Below are 15,568 nucleotides of genomic sequence, written 5' to 3'. Positions count from 1 at the left end.
AGTCTCTCAAATATGTCCCTTCCGTGCAGGGCCTTCATTGCTTTCTTTTACCTGCCCACATATCCTTATGGTTTTCTCCCTCAGTTTCTTCAGATATCTGCTCAGAGAGGTTTTTTGTAACCAAGATTGTAAAATAGCGCCAAATACCCTCCCCATTTTATTTTTCTTTGTATATTTTTGTACCACCTCATATAGAGTATACATTCATTTAATTGCAGCCAACTTTTACAATATAGGGTCCACAAAAGCAGGAAAGTTGTCTAGTACAGTAGTTAGGCCATAGTTAGGTGTTCAATACATATTTTTTGAACTAATGCATAAATATCTAATGGTCTTCATAGCAAAAACACTTCCGTATCTCAAAGACATGTCTTCAAACTAAATTAATTAGTGTCTTCATAGATTTCGCTCTTACTTGCTAATATAATGATTATTCTCTACTTGCAGTCTCTGTTAATAAGTCTCTCCCTCCACTCTTTGAAATCCCAATGGAAACATATTGACTACTTCATCTCCATTATAACTTACAGCTTTTTATTTCTCACATCCTGTCTATTCTACCTCCACAATGCCTGTCACATATTGTTTTACTTTCATCCATTCCCATTATTATTACATTAGTTAAGACTCTAATCATCTCCTACTTCAGAAAGTCTTTCTGTGTCCAAAAAAAATTTAAGTTAACTAAATTTAAAAGCTTCCAGCTGATTCTTTTTCTCTGCTTTCTCATGCCTCCAGTCCATCTTTCTGCTGTTGGTATTTTCTTCCTAAAGTAAAATTCACATCATGTCACCTTTCTTCATAATTTGTGCTGGACCATAAAAGGAACCAAAATTCCTTAAACCTTTGAGATTTAATGAATACCTTAATATATGTTTCTGTGAAATTAATGACCAAGAATAATAATAACAAAACACATCCTTTAGCTAATAAAACATATATGTGAAATATTTATTTCTGGTCTAGCATCTGCTAGACTAAAAAAAAGGCCATTTCCTCCCCCTCTGTGATAACTTTGGTTTCATCTATTTAGATTTAACTCTTCAAGACCTTATTTAAATACCTACCATCTTATGAAAGCTGAAGAATTTCATTGACTCCAAGCTCAGCTTTTTATCTCAAAGGAGTTCACATAACTACACTGTCTAAATCAGTCTTCCTGGCATATTCAAAATCCTGGCTCATTTATAACCTCCTCCATCCTATTACTGATTTGCATTCTTAACTACAGGTAAGAGAAAACCAGTGCAACCTAGCTTTCAATAGACAGGAATTTGCTGGCTCATATAAATGAGACATCCAATAAAGAAGAAAAGTTGGAAAAAATGTGTCAAATGTAGCATCCTTTCTCTCTCTTTCTCTCTCTCTCTGTTTTTTCACCTAGGCTTGTGCCATAAACCTTCTTCTACATCAGTTACTGTGGTTATGGCTGTCTTGTTGGCTGAGCTCGAGCTATAGGGTCTATCCTTGGACACAAAGGATGGAAGGCATCCTATCCAAAACACAGGGATCTGGGATTGGGGAAGAGATGGGTCTCTTACTAGGAGGCTGGCTTAATGGGTAAAAATTACAGATGTCTACTACAATCATTAAACATGAATGGATGCATAATGTACTCAGATTTTTTCTTGTACAGTTGTATGGACCCCAATTTTTTTTTGACATTTGAAGGTTTGTGTCTTAACTATTAGTTTTATTCCCAGTTCATAATGTAGTGAATAGCATTTTATAAGAGCTCTCTTAATGTCTACACAGTTTAAATCAATTTTTAGTAGATCTTTTTTTCATATTATTTTTATGCAATCATGTGTTTACCAGAACAAATCTGGAAGAAAAATGGCATTGGTATGCTCATTTGCAGACTCGGGGAACAGAAGTATCTTTCCCACACATCAATTTTATAGCATAGCAGAGTCAACCCTAAAACTCAGGATTTCTAAATACTCTTTCAATTTCAAATTTTGAACTATATGGTGCCACACTACCATTAATCATAATGAATGTTATTTCCCCCCTTAAAAATAGCTTGGATTGTGGGATGAGACGCAACTGAGTTTGAATCTCAGCTTTGAAATTTTATAATTGTGTAAACCTAACCTTGCAGGGATAATATTGACCCTCACCTTAATATCTGTTTGCCAAAATAAAAGAGATAATGCAAGTCACACTTGGCACTGTGGCTGTCACATAGATGGTGTTCCTTTAAGGCTTTCTATCTGCACTAAAATTACCACCACCACCTCTGCCACACCACTGCTGGTATTCCTATGACAACTGCTCTTGTTAACGATTACTGCTGGACGTGAAATTATGCACCAATACTCAGCATCATGTAATTTTCTTAAAAAAAATCAAAATTATGTTTGCCTTTGTTTCACTACAGCAACGCAAGATTGCTTAGCCCTTTTTCAATATCCTTTTCTCTCCTGAAACCCCTTTATCAACCAAATTATGAGATCTGAGATACTAATCGCTTGAGATATTGTTGTTATCTTCTGTTAATAAGAAGCAATACCTCACAAGCTAGTTTGAATTTACCTAAAAATGAAAATTAAACTACTCTAAAATAACATTATGTTCATATAATTTTAATAGGTAGCAGCTTTTGCCATCATAAGTTTATCAGTCACTGTTTTCCACATGAGATTGAGGTAAGAGAGAGACCCTCTCATATTGTTTTACGTTGCTTTATACTCAGTACCTGTTTTAAGGAAAAACAACAAGGAAGTAAAACCAAAGACAGGCAGCCTGGCGCCAGGCCTGAAACCAGGCCTGGGCCTGCCTGGCCTAAACCCAGTAGTTAAAAATCAACTCATAACTTAGAAACCAATGTTATTCATAGATTACAGACATTGTATAGTAGAGCATTGTGAAACTCCCTGCCCTGTTCTGTATCTCTCTGACCACTGGTGCATGCAGCCCCTGTCACATACCACCTGCTTGCTCAAATCAATCACGACCCTTTCATGTGAAATCTTTAGTGTTGTGAGCCCTTAAAAGGGACAGAAATTGTGCATTTGGGGAACTCGGATTTTAAGGCAGTAGCTTGCCGATGCTCCCAGCTGAATAAAGCCCTTCCTTCTACAACTCGGTGTCTGAGAGGTTTTGTCTGCGGCTCGTCCTGCTACATTTCTTGGTTCCCTGACTGGGAAGCGAGGTGACTGATGGATAGCTGAGGCAGCCCCTTAGGTGACTTAAGCCTGCCCTGTGGAGCATCCCTGAGGGGGACTCCAGCCAGCCTGAGTGACGTGATCCAAAGAGCGCTCCCGGGTAGGAAACTGCCCCAGTGGAACACCTCGCCAGAGCAGCGCACATAGCAGGCCCCCGAGGAGGATTAACACAGTGGCTGAACACCAGGAAGGAACTGGCACTTGGAGTCCGGACATCTGAAACTTGGTAAGACTAGTCTTTGGAACTTGCCTCACTCCATCTGAGTGGAAGCGTGGCCTGATCACCCACAGCGTGCCTGCATTGGCACTCTTGTTCTGGTTTTGACTTGACTTGAATTGCTGGATACTTTGGTTTTGGTTTTGACTTGGCTGGAATTTTTTGATACTTGGATTTTGAATTTCATGATTTTGGTTTGGTATAAACGGTAGAAGTGTGTGTGTGCCCTCTTTACCTGTTCTTTGTCTTGTGGTATGTGTGGTGTGAGTGTGGTATTTTGTCTCGGGAAAAAAAAAAAAAAAACAACGTGGGTCAGGCACAAAGTAAGCCCACCCCACTGGGAACTATGTTAAAAAAAAAAAAATTCAAGAAAGAATTGAGGAAGCCTGGACAGGTCCCTTGTTTCAAAGGTATGGCACAAGGTAACCTGTAAGCCAAAGCACCCAGACCAGTTTCCGTACACAGACAGTAACAGCTGGTTTTAGACCCCCTTTCCTCCCCACAGTAGTTAAAAGAACAGCAGTATAAGCAGCTGGCAGAGGCAGCAGAGAGAAAAGGAAAGACCAGCAGAGAGAAAAAAAGGCCATCTAAACCAATTGTAAGTTAATTTAGACTAAACAAGGTCTTATTAATAGCAAAGGATAATTGAAATCCCAAACTTACAAGGTTTTCAACAAAAGTGAAGTTTGCTAAAAGTTAACAGTGTAACATGTATTATGGTAACTTCTAATCTTGTGGCCTTAGTCCCAAAGACATAAAGAAAGTTTGCTTTAAAAAAAGGAATGGTTATCTTCAAAAAAAAAAAAAAAAGGGGGGGGGGGCAGGCAGAATTTAGGTAAAAAGAGTGTTATATGGTAAATTCTTGTCCTGAAATAAATTAACTGGTTGTTTAAAGAAAAAAAAAATGTTTGTAATAAGTCAGAAAGTTGAGACATGTTGAAAAATTGTCGGCGAAAGTCATGAAAGAAAAAATGTTATAAAAATTGTATGCAAAAAATGTTGTATAATTTAAAAGTAATAAGGCCTCCTGAGTACCATTAAAAAAAACAGTTTATGTGCGAAGTGTATAAGAAAAGTAAAATATACCTTTGGTAAAAAGATTATAAAGGGGCATAATAATGTAGATTTTTACCTACATTAAAAGGTTAAAAAAATTATTGTTTTAAAAGTTTAAGCAAGCTTTAAAATGTTAATTATAAAGAAAATTCTGTGTGTAAACATATTAGCTAAAGTTAAAAAGATATCATCCAGTTTTTCTGTGAACTGGACATTAAAGTAAAAATGCAACAAGTTTTTCTTAAAGCATCAACCTGCTCTTTAACAAAAATTATAAAAGATTAAAGAGTCTATAAAATCTTACCTTATGGTCAAACATGAAAAATTGGATAAATATGTCTACAAGGCTTTATTAAAATTAAGTTTAACATTAATAACACACTAATATAAAGGTAAAATTTAACTTATCTGGCATAAAAATCACACAAGAAGCATTATTAAATATAAAATGGTGTTTAGCTTTCTTTGGTCTAAAAACTAATAAAAATAGGTGCTAAAGGAAACATTCATTTTACTAGAGGATCAAGAAAGTTAAAGACTTAAAACAAACTTCGGCAGTTAAGACAGCATACCAAGATACAAATGCCTGGATGAAATGGATCAAATATTCCATCCGCACGTTAAACAAAGCAACTGTTATGCTTGTGCACATGGCAGGTTGGCAGGTTAGAGACCCTGATTGTCCCCCTTCCACTAAGGTGGTCCTTCAGTCGACCAGGCGTGGGCTGTATGGTAGCTGTTTTCCAGGATTCTACAGCCTGGAGTAATAAGTCATGCCAAGCTCTCTCTGCTGTATCCTGAAGTCCCTGCAGGTCATCCCCGAGGGCCATCCAGCTTCCGTCTCCCAACACTAAGTTCACTTCTTGTCTCTCATGGCAGGGGAGGAGACTTAGCATTCCTTGGAGACCTGAAGGGATGCAGTGATCTTAGGAATTTTCAAGAGCTTATCAATCAGTCAGCCCTTGTTCATCCCCGAGTGGATTTGTGGTGGTATTGTGGTGGACTTTTACTGGGCACTCTGCCAAATAACTAGAGTGGCACTTGTGCTTTAGTCCATTTGGCTATCCATTTCACCCTGGCATTTCATCAGCCAGAGGAAAAAAAATAATAATAAGACATCGTAAAGCAAGAGAAGCCCCTTATAGGTCTTTCAACTCTCACATCTATTTAGATGCAATTGGAGCCCCACAAGGAATACCAGATCAATTTAAAGCTTGAAATCAAATAGTTGTAAGATTTAAGTCAATATTTTGGTAGATGACAGTCAATAAAAATGTAAATTAGATAAACTACATCTATTACAACCAACAGCAACGAGCTTTTCGTAAGTTAAAAAGAAAAACGCATGTCGGCCCCAGCCCTGAGGCTACCTGACCTGACAAAACTCTTTACACTCTATGTGTCAGAAAGAGAAAAAATGGCAGTTGGAGTTTTAACCCAGACTGTAGGGCCCTGGCCAAGGCCAGTGGCCTATCTCTCAAAACAACTAGAAGGGGTTTCCAAAGACTGGCCCCCATGTCCAAGGGCCCTGGTAGCAACAGACCTGTTAGCACAAGAAACAGATAAGCTAACTCTTGGGCAAAACCTAAACATAAAGTGTCCCCATGCTGTGGTGATTTTAATAAATACCAAAGGACACCATTAGCCAATGAATGTTAGACTAACTAGATACCAAAGCTTGCTCTGCAAAAATCCCCACATAACCATTGAAGTTTGCAACACCCTAACCCCACCACCTTACTCCTGGTATCAGGGAGCCCAGTGAAACATTAACTGTGTAGAGGTGTTAGACTCTGTTTATTCTAGTAGGCCCAACCTCTGAGACCACCCTTACACATCAGTAGACTGGGAGCTGTACGTGGATGGGAGCAGCTTCGCCAGCCCCTGCAAAGTGACTCTAAAGAAGATGACAAGCCCTGCTCCAGTCACACCCGGAAGCTGACTGGTCCACGCATGGCCGATGCATCAGAAAACTCATTGTGGGACTCATTTTCCTTAAAATTTGGACTTTTTCAGTAAGGACGTCAACTAACCTTCGTCAGACTGAGAACTGTTCCCAGTATATACATCAAGTCACTGAGGTAGGACAAAAAATTGCTACAGTCCTATTATTTTATGGTTATTATAAGTGTACCAGGACTCTAAAAGAAACTCGTTTGTATAATGCTATTCTATCCAAGGTATGTAGCCCAGGAAATAACCAACCTGATGTGTGTTATGACCCATTTTAAGCCTCCCACGATCACAGTTTTTAAAATAAAATTAAGGACTGGTCCTTTTCTAGGTGACACAAGTAAGGTAATAGCTAGAACAGAAGAAAGAGGGGCCCCCAAAAATGTAACCTTAAAATTTGACACTTGTGCTGCTATTGATAGTAAGCAGCATGGAATAAGATGCCGTTCTGTAAACTAAAAAAAAGTTAAACAGTTAAAAAAAAAAAGTATATCTGTCAAAAATCATATTTATGTGAGATGTGTCAATACTGGTCTTGTGTCATTTAGGCTACTTGAAAAGAGGATTAAAAAAAGATCTTGTTTGGCTCTGCAAAGGAAAAGGCAGCCCCTCCTGCATGAGTGGGAGCTGCAACCCTTTAAAATTAGTAATCACAAACCCCTCAGACCCAAAATAAAATAAAGAAAAATATGTATCATTAGGCATTGATGGAAAAGGACTAGATCCTAGTGTAAACATCCTAATGAAATGGGAGGTTCAAATACGCTCTCCAGAACCAGTATTTCAGACTTTCTGTAATAAACTAAATGTGCCAGTACCAGAGACTCTAGGAAAAACCAGAAATTTGTTTTTGCAATTAGCCGAGCATGTAGCCCAGTCTCTAAATGTCACTTCATGTTATGTTTGTGGAAAAACTGTAATAGAAGATCAATGGCCATGGGAAGCCCAATAATTAGTTCCTACAGATCCAGTTCCTGATGAATTCCCAGCCCAAAAGAACCACCCTGACATATTTTTCGTCCTAAAAGTCTCAATTATTGGACAGTATTGCATAGCTAAAGAAGGAAAAGGATTCACTCATCCTGTAAGGCGGTTTAGTTGTCTTAGGCAAAAGCTGTATAATGGTACCACAAAAACAGTTACATGGTGGAGTTCCAATTACACAGAAAGAAATCCATTCAGTAAATTTCCAAAGTTGCAGACTATTTGGGCCCACCCAGAATTCCACCAGGACTGGACGGCCCCACAGGGTTATACTGGATATGTGGACACAGAGCTTATGCTAATCTGCCTGATCAGTGGACAGGTAGCTGTATAATTGGCACCATTAAGCCATCTTTCTTCTTACTGCCGATAAAAACAGGTAAACTTCTGGGCTTCCCAGTCTATGCTTCCCACGAAAAATGAAGCATAGCTGTAAGTGATTGGAAAGATGATAAATGGTCCCCTGAAAAAATCATACAATATTATAGACCTGCCACTTAGGCACAAGATGGCTCAGGAGGATATCAAACCCCCATCTACATGCTCAACTGAATCATACGGTTACAAGCTGTTTTAAAAATCATTGCTAATAAAACTGGTCAAGCCTTGACTATTCTGGCCCAGCAAGAAACTCTAATGAGAAATGCTATCTATCAAAATAGACTAGCTCTTACTACTTGCTAACAGCTGAAGGAGGAGTTTGTGAAAAATTAACCTTACTAATTGTTGCCTACACATAGATGATGAGGGGAAGTAGTTGAAAATATAGTTAAAGATATAACAAAACTGGCACATGTACCCATGCAAGTGTGGCACAGATGCAATCCTGTAGCCATGTTTGGAAATTGGTTCCCAGCAATAGGAGGATTTAAAACTCTTATAATAAAAGTAATCATAGTAATAGGAACCTGCTTACTGCTCCCTTGTCTGATACCTGTATTTCTCCAAATGATAAAAAAACTTCATCGCTACCTTAGTTCACCAAAATGCTTCAGCACAAGCATACTATATAAATCACTATCAATCTATTGCATAAGAAGTCATAAGTAGCAAAAATAAGAGTGAGAACTCCCACTAATAAAAAGTGAGAGTCTCAAAGGGGGGAAAGGAGGAAAGAGAGAGACCCTCTCATATTGTTTTATATTGTTGTATACTCAGTACCTGTTTTAAGAAAAAACAACAAGGAAGTAAAACCAAAGACAGGCAGCCCAGCACCACGCCCAAAACCAGGCCTGGGCCTGCCTGGCCTAAACCCAGTAGTTAAAAATCAACTCATAACTTAGAAACCGACGTTATTCATAGATTACAGACATTGTATAGAAGAACATCGTGAAACTCCCTGCCCTGTTCTGTTTCTCTCTGACCACTGGTGCATGCAGCCCGTCACGGACCCCTTGCTTGCCCAAATCAATCACGACCCTTTCATGTGAAATCTTTAGTGTTGTGAGCCCTTAAAAGGGACAGAAATTGTGCACTTGGGGAGCTCAGATTTTAAGGCAGTAGCTTGCCGACGCTCCTGGCTGAATAAAGCCCTTCCTTCTACAACTCAGTGTCTGAGAGGTTTTGTCTGCAGCTTATCCTGCTACAAGATGTTGAAATTGTCCTTTGCATTTGCTGTCCTGCTGTCTGGATTACAGTTCCCCCAGGTTTTCACATCGATTCCTTCTCTCCATTCTTGTCTCTGTTGGAAGAACTTCCTGGCCACCCTATCTGATGCAGCTTTCTCTCACCCTCTTCCCATACACTGTCTATTTTTTTCAACATTGCACTGAATATTACCTGATTGTATATTACTATGTTCATTTATAGTTTACCCTCTCATCTTCCCAGTAGACACCAGTCCTGAGTACAGGGATGACATATGCTTGTTCACTTCTGTGTCTCCAATGGCCAGAAGAGTGTTTGGCACATGGCAGATTCTTAATATATTTTGTTAGCTTAGGTGGATTGTCTCTAAAATGGTTAAAACTTCATTCCACATTATATTCCTTATAACATAATTACATATGTCACTTTTAACGGTAAGCATAAATTATTTGGTCTAAGAAATCAGGTTTTATACAGTATAGGCAAGAATGCTTTTTATTTCTAACCTTTATATGAAAAATTGTATGACCCCTGTATAACCATTATTCTGTGTGCTTTTTCAAATAAATCTTCCTGCCGGGCACGGTGGCTCACGCCTGTAATCTGAGCACTTTGGGATGCTGAGGCGGGCAGATCACGAAGTCAGGAGATAGACCATCCTGGCTAACACAGTGAAACGCTGTCTCTACTAAAATTACAAAAACTTAGCTGGGCATGGTGGCACACGCCTGTAGTTCCAGCTACTTGGGAGGCTGAGGCAGGAGAATTGCTTGAACCTAGGAGGTGGAGGTTGTAGCGAGCGGAGATCGCGCCACTGCACTCCTGGGTGACAGAGTGAGACCCTGTTTCAAAAAACTAAACTAAACTAAAATAAAATAAATTTTCCTAAGCCTATTATACAATGAGCAATGTTGTTAAATTAAAAGTTTTGACAATCTTTAGAGAATAATCTAAAGTAGTCAGGTATATAAATTGGTATATAGCTATTATTGAATCATACAAATTGCCTTTGGTTGATTTTTAGTTTTCTATTTTCAGCCTCTTTTTATTTTATCACTTGCAATCAATTCTCAGCAATTTACAATATAAATGTTATCAAATGCCCCTTTGGTTGATTTTTGACCATTGGTACTTCTGTGTTTCTCATTGCATTTCAGCGCTCAGAAGTCTGTTGTCATCATTTATATTATGTACAATTAATAACTGCAGTAGACTATGTTGGAGGGTTCACCAAAGAGGAAACTTCAGATTGGAGAACACAAAGGAATGCAACTTGAAAAACAAAATAGGACAAATGAATATTTTCCCTTTAAAATTGAAATGGTAGAAGACATTCTTTAATTAAAAAAAAATCATAACATTTACATTAATGTAAAAATTAATTTAAAATAGTTTTCTGCCTATTATTATTCTCTCTCATTCTTAAGAGCATCTGAAAAACTGTTTTAAATAAGAACATATCTAAAATGATCCACAGGGCAAAAATATTCCCCATATTTTATATTCTTAAATGATTTAATAAAAACATGATTTAATGTTGGCATAACTCTCGTCCCAGTATACTGTAAAATTTATTTTATAAGTAAGTATTTTTGTATACCAGAATCTGTTTCATGCTTTAGAAAACCAATAATTAGTACTGAAAATAATTTTAAACAAAACAAGAAATCTGTATTCATCTCCATATAAAAAAGTGATACCCAGAGAAGAAACTCAAAGATTAAGAATCTCATTTTTTATCAATAAATATTAAGAAATTAGGATTATTTCATCTCTGAAGGATTCAAATTAAGCTTACAATTTAGTGACCTTCCAGTCACACTTTTTACTTATGTATTTACAAGTAAAAGAATATGTAAAGACAATTGAGTATTGTGCAACATTGATGTGTATTTATAAAATAGCTTTATTTTATAATAAAGTAATATGTGTAGATAGTGTCATGAAGGAAATATTCTCCCCATAATATAGTTTCCCTTCTTCATTTCAGCACATGAAATTAAACAAACAGAGGAAACTTCATCTCAAACCCATCTAACCTAGTCAGTACCATAGTAAGCTGCTTTAAATCATATTTAAAACAAGGTAGAGTACAAATAAATACATGCATGTAAGACCCAAATTAAAGCCCCTCAAAAATCTATTACTTTTAATTTCATAAATAAATTTTTTATTGGGCTTAATTTACTCCCCGTATAAAATAATAATATGTTTTAAGACTAAATTTTTTTGTTTCCTGTCAAAGTAAATTTTTTGATGTTGTTGAAATTAACCATTGTAACATCATTAAAAATATAGCCTACTGTGTGCTTAATACCATAAAATATAAAAATGACAGTAATATTAAGTCTAGAATTTGCCAAAAATTATACATTTATTAATATTCTTAATATTTTTTACCTTTCCTAAATCTCAGACTGATTCTTATGTATTTGTCAATGTTAAACTATCAACGTTCTGCAGTCAAATTTTTAAACTGCAAAAGTATTCAAAGTAACATGTAGTTAATGTGACAATAAACAAATTAATCTCTTCAATATAAGAAAAATATCTGTGAATGCCATCTATACATCATTTTCCTCTGGTGATAGTTGTTCCCTATTGTTATATATCAGTTAATGTTCTTTTCCTGCTTGTGCCAGAAAATGCATTTAAATGACACTAAAAAGAGGAACTTTGATATGTTAGTCTTCAAACTATTTTTAATAACAATAAAATAATTTAAATGAGCTCTATTTTTGCCAAAAAGCAGGTTTTTAAGGTAAGTATAATAACCAATTTATAAGTATATGCTTTATATAATTAATTTTTCCTTAAAGTTTCAGAGAATAGAAACATATCAGAAGAATTAACACAAAATGCAAACTGGTAGATTCAGATCTAAATTTGTTTTGCAAATTCAATTTAATACAGAAATGTTAAGCCATTTTTAATGATTAAATAAAAGTTTACATGGGAAGCAAAACAAACAAAAATAATACTGTTAATTTATGTATTAAAGGTTTAATTCATGACTTCCAGTTTCCAATATGGCATGTAAGAACCTTGGGCATCATCACTCCCATTCTCACTACAATGAAAAAACAGAACAAACTGAAACTCAATAACTCTTCTTAGATACATCAGAGAAGTGAGGTCAAAGGGCAATATATTGCTCCCTAAAATGGAGAGACACACAGGTAAGATACAGAGAATCACGATTTACTGAAGCAGAAGCCTAGAAGCAGAAACCTCCATGGGAAACAATGCTGTTAGGAAACCCTAAACTGTAATTGACAAATTGCTGAAGGCACAGTGTGGAAAAAATTCTAGGGGAACTCAATCTTACGAGGCCCCCAAACTTTCATGAAATGTACCTCCTACAGCCCAGTTGGGTTCTCTCAGTGAAAACCTGAGAGGAAAAAAAAAAAGAAAAACTCTCTTGCTTCCAGCAGGGGAAGAGAAAAAGTAACCATTTTGAAAGGCCTGACCTCAAGACAAACTATTGTAGCACAGCCTTACCTACTGGGGTTTTACCATAAAGTAAACAAACTGGGAAATGAGAAATATACAACGTTAACCCCCTCCAGACTTCAAAACAGAACTTGGAAGCCCTTTAAGGGTTATTGACTTCTATAAGGTGCACAGGCTCAGTAACAGAAGGAGGCCTAATGTAAGACTTTAGACCATTTGCCTTTCTACAACTTAACCATTACATCAGGAGAATACAACTGAAAGAAGTACATGACTGAGACCTTATTTAAAGATGAATTTGTCTCTTAGGTAACTCAAACCCAACAGGGAAGACAAAACCAAGGAAATTAGGGAAAAATTTAACCTCTGACACCTATAGCTACAGCAAACAGTAAAAAAAACACCCAACCCTTAGTCAAAAACATAAATTGAAAAAAGAGAATCAACATAAAAAAATTGGCCGGGCGCCGTGTCTCACGCCTGTAATCCCAGCACTTTGGGAGGCCGAGGCAGGCAGATCACGAGGTCAGGAGATAAAGACCATCCTGGCTAACACGGTGAAACCCTGTCTCTACTAAAAATACAGAAAGTTAGCCGGGCACGGTGGCGGTGCCTGTAGTCCCACCTACTTGGGAGGCTGAGGCAGAAGAATGGCGTGAACCCGGGAGGCGGAGCTTGCAGTGAGTCGAGATCTCACCACTGCACTCCAGCCTGGGGGGCAGAGTGAGACTCCGTCTCAAAAATAAATAAATAAATTAATTAATTAATTTTAAAAAATCAACAAAATCAAAATCTGTTTCAACCTCTAGCCAGGTTAAGGAAGAAATAATGAGAGACCCAAATTGCTATGATGAGAAATAAAAAAGCAACTATCATTACTGAACCACTGGATGTTAAAAGGATTATAAAAAAATATTGTGAACAACTATGTGCCCACACATTTGATAACCTGGATGAAATGGAGCAATTCCTTGAAAGACACACAATCTACCAAAACTCACATCAGAAGAACTAATCTAAACATCTATTTAAAAAATTGGATCAGTAAATAATAACATTCCAAAATGAAAGCACCAAGCTCAGATGAATTCTACCAATAATTTAAAAATGAAATTACAGCAATTCTCTAGTTTCCTCCAAAAAATGGAAGTAGTGGGAATATTTCCTAACTCATTCTTCTAGGCCATCATTACCCTAATCCAGAACCAGACAAATCAGTTACAAGACAAAAACATTATAGACCAATATCTCTCAGGAACATAGATGCATAAATCCTAAAAGAAAGCACATTAAATCCAACAATGTATATAAAGAATTATACACCATGATCAAATGGAATTTATGACAGGTGTGCAAGGCTGATTCAATATTCAAAAATCAATTACTATAATCCCTCACATCAACGGGCTAAATAAGAGAAATTATATTATTATTTTAATAGATGCAGCAAAAGCATCTAAAAAAACCAATTCTCATTCATAATTCATAAGTAAAACCATCAGCAATCTAAGATTAAATAGGAACTTTCTCAATTTGATAAAAAATCTATAAACACTTACAGCTAACATCATACTTAACAGTGAAAAACTATATGCTTTTCCTGCTAATATCAGGAACAAGGCAAGGAAGTCTGTTCTTACACTTCTACTCAACATCATACTGGGAGTACCAGCCAATGAAATAAGAACAACAAAAAAGGAAATAAAAAGTAGACAGATTGGGAAGGAAGAAATAAAACTGTCTTTTTAAGGTGGTGACATGATTATTAATGTAGAAAATTGCAGAGAATTGACAAAAAAAAAACTACTGGCACTAAGAAGTGATTACAGCAATATTGGAGGATATAAGACTAATAAGCAAAAGTCAATTTTTTTCTTAATACTAGCCATGAAAAATTGGAATTTGAAATGGAAAACATAATACCATTTAAATTAGTACATCTCAAAAATTGAATACTTAGATATAAATATATCAAAATAAGTATAAAATCTGTATGAGAAAAACTACAATATTCTGATGAAAAAAATCAAAGAAGATCTAAATAAATACAAATATATTCTATCTACATGTATAAGAATACTTAACATTGTCAAGATTTCAATTCTTCCCAACTTGATCAATACATTAAACACAATCCCAGCCGAAATCTCAGTGAGTCATTTTGTGGATGCAAAAAAAAAATAATAATGTGTTCTAAATTTCATAAGAAAAAGCAAAAGACTCATAATATTTAACACAATATTGAAGAAGTAAAAAAGTTGGAAGACTGATACTACCAAACTTCAAGATACACTATAAATTTACAGTAATCAAGACAGTGTGAGGTTGATGAAGTAAAAGACAAATAGATTAATGGAACAAAATAGCAAATATAGTCAAGTGATGTTTGACAAAGGAACAAAGTCAAATAAATGGAAATATAATAGTCTTTTCACAAGTGGTGCTGAAACTCAAAATCCACATGCAAAAAATAAATCTACACCCAGACGTTATACCTTTCACAAAATTAACTCAAAATGAACCATACATCTAAATGTAAACACAAAGATATAAAACTTCTAAATGATACCACAGGAGAAAATCTTGGTGACCTTGAGTTTGGTGATGAATTTTTAGATACAACACTAAAGCCTGATGCATAAAACAAACAAACAAAAAAAAACTCATAAGTTGAAGCTCATTAAAACTAAAACTTTTGCTCTGCAAAAGACACTGTGAAGAGAAAGAAAGGAGAAACTATAGACTAGGAAAATATATTTTCAAAGCACATATCTGATAATGGACTGGTACCCAAAATATACAAAAATATCTTATAACTCAAAAATAAGAAACAAACAATATAATTTAAAATGGGCAAAAGTTATCTATAGACACCTCACTAAAACAGATATACAGATGGCAAATAAGCACATGAAAAAATGCTCAACATCGTATGCTATTAGGGAATTTCAAATTAAAACAAACAGATACCACTTTAAACCTGTGAGAATGATGAAAATCCAAAACACTGACATCAAATACTGATGAAGATGTGAAACAAAAGGAGATCTCATTCATTGCTGGTGGATACGCAAAATAGCCCAGCCACTTTGGAAGACAGTTTTGCAATTTTTTATAAAATTAAACACACTCTTATCATAGGATCCAG

At 36.0% G+C, this 15,568-nt stretch overlaps 1 protein-coding gene across 8 annotated transcripts in view, besides 1 other annotated feature; it reads right to left on the bottom strand.

The window, feature by feature from the left end:
- Positions 1 to 15,568, bottom strand: part of CCSER1 (coiled-coil serine rich protein 1) — a 1,477,902-nt gene that overhangs the window by 243,211 nt on the left and 1,219,123 nt on the right. The gene's annotated exons all lie outside the window — the stretch shown is intronic.
- Positions 2,788 to 2,947: an enhancer, noted in NCBI's record as "active region_21725". NCBI's record gives its function as "activates an Ori minimal core promoter by ATAC-STARR-seq in GM12878 lymphoblastoid cells {active_cell/tissue: GM12878}" and the evidence as "EXISTENCE:reporter gene assay evidence [ECO:0000049][PMID:35858748]".

Source organism: Homo sapiens, chromosome 4 (assembly GCF_000001405.40).
Source record: "Homo sapiens chromosome 4, GRCh38.p14 Primary Assembly".
In the NCBI taxonomy this organism is placed as follows: Eukaryota; Metazoa; Chordata; class Mammalia; order Primates; family Hominidae; genus Homo; species Homo sapiens.
This window is presented reverse-complemented; position numbering and strand designations above follow the sequence as displayed.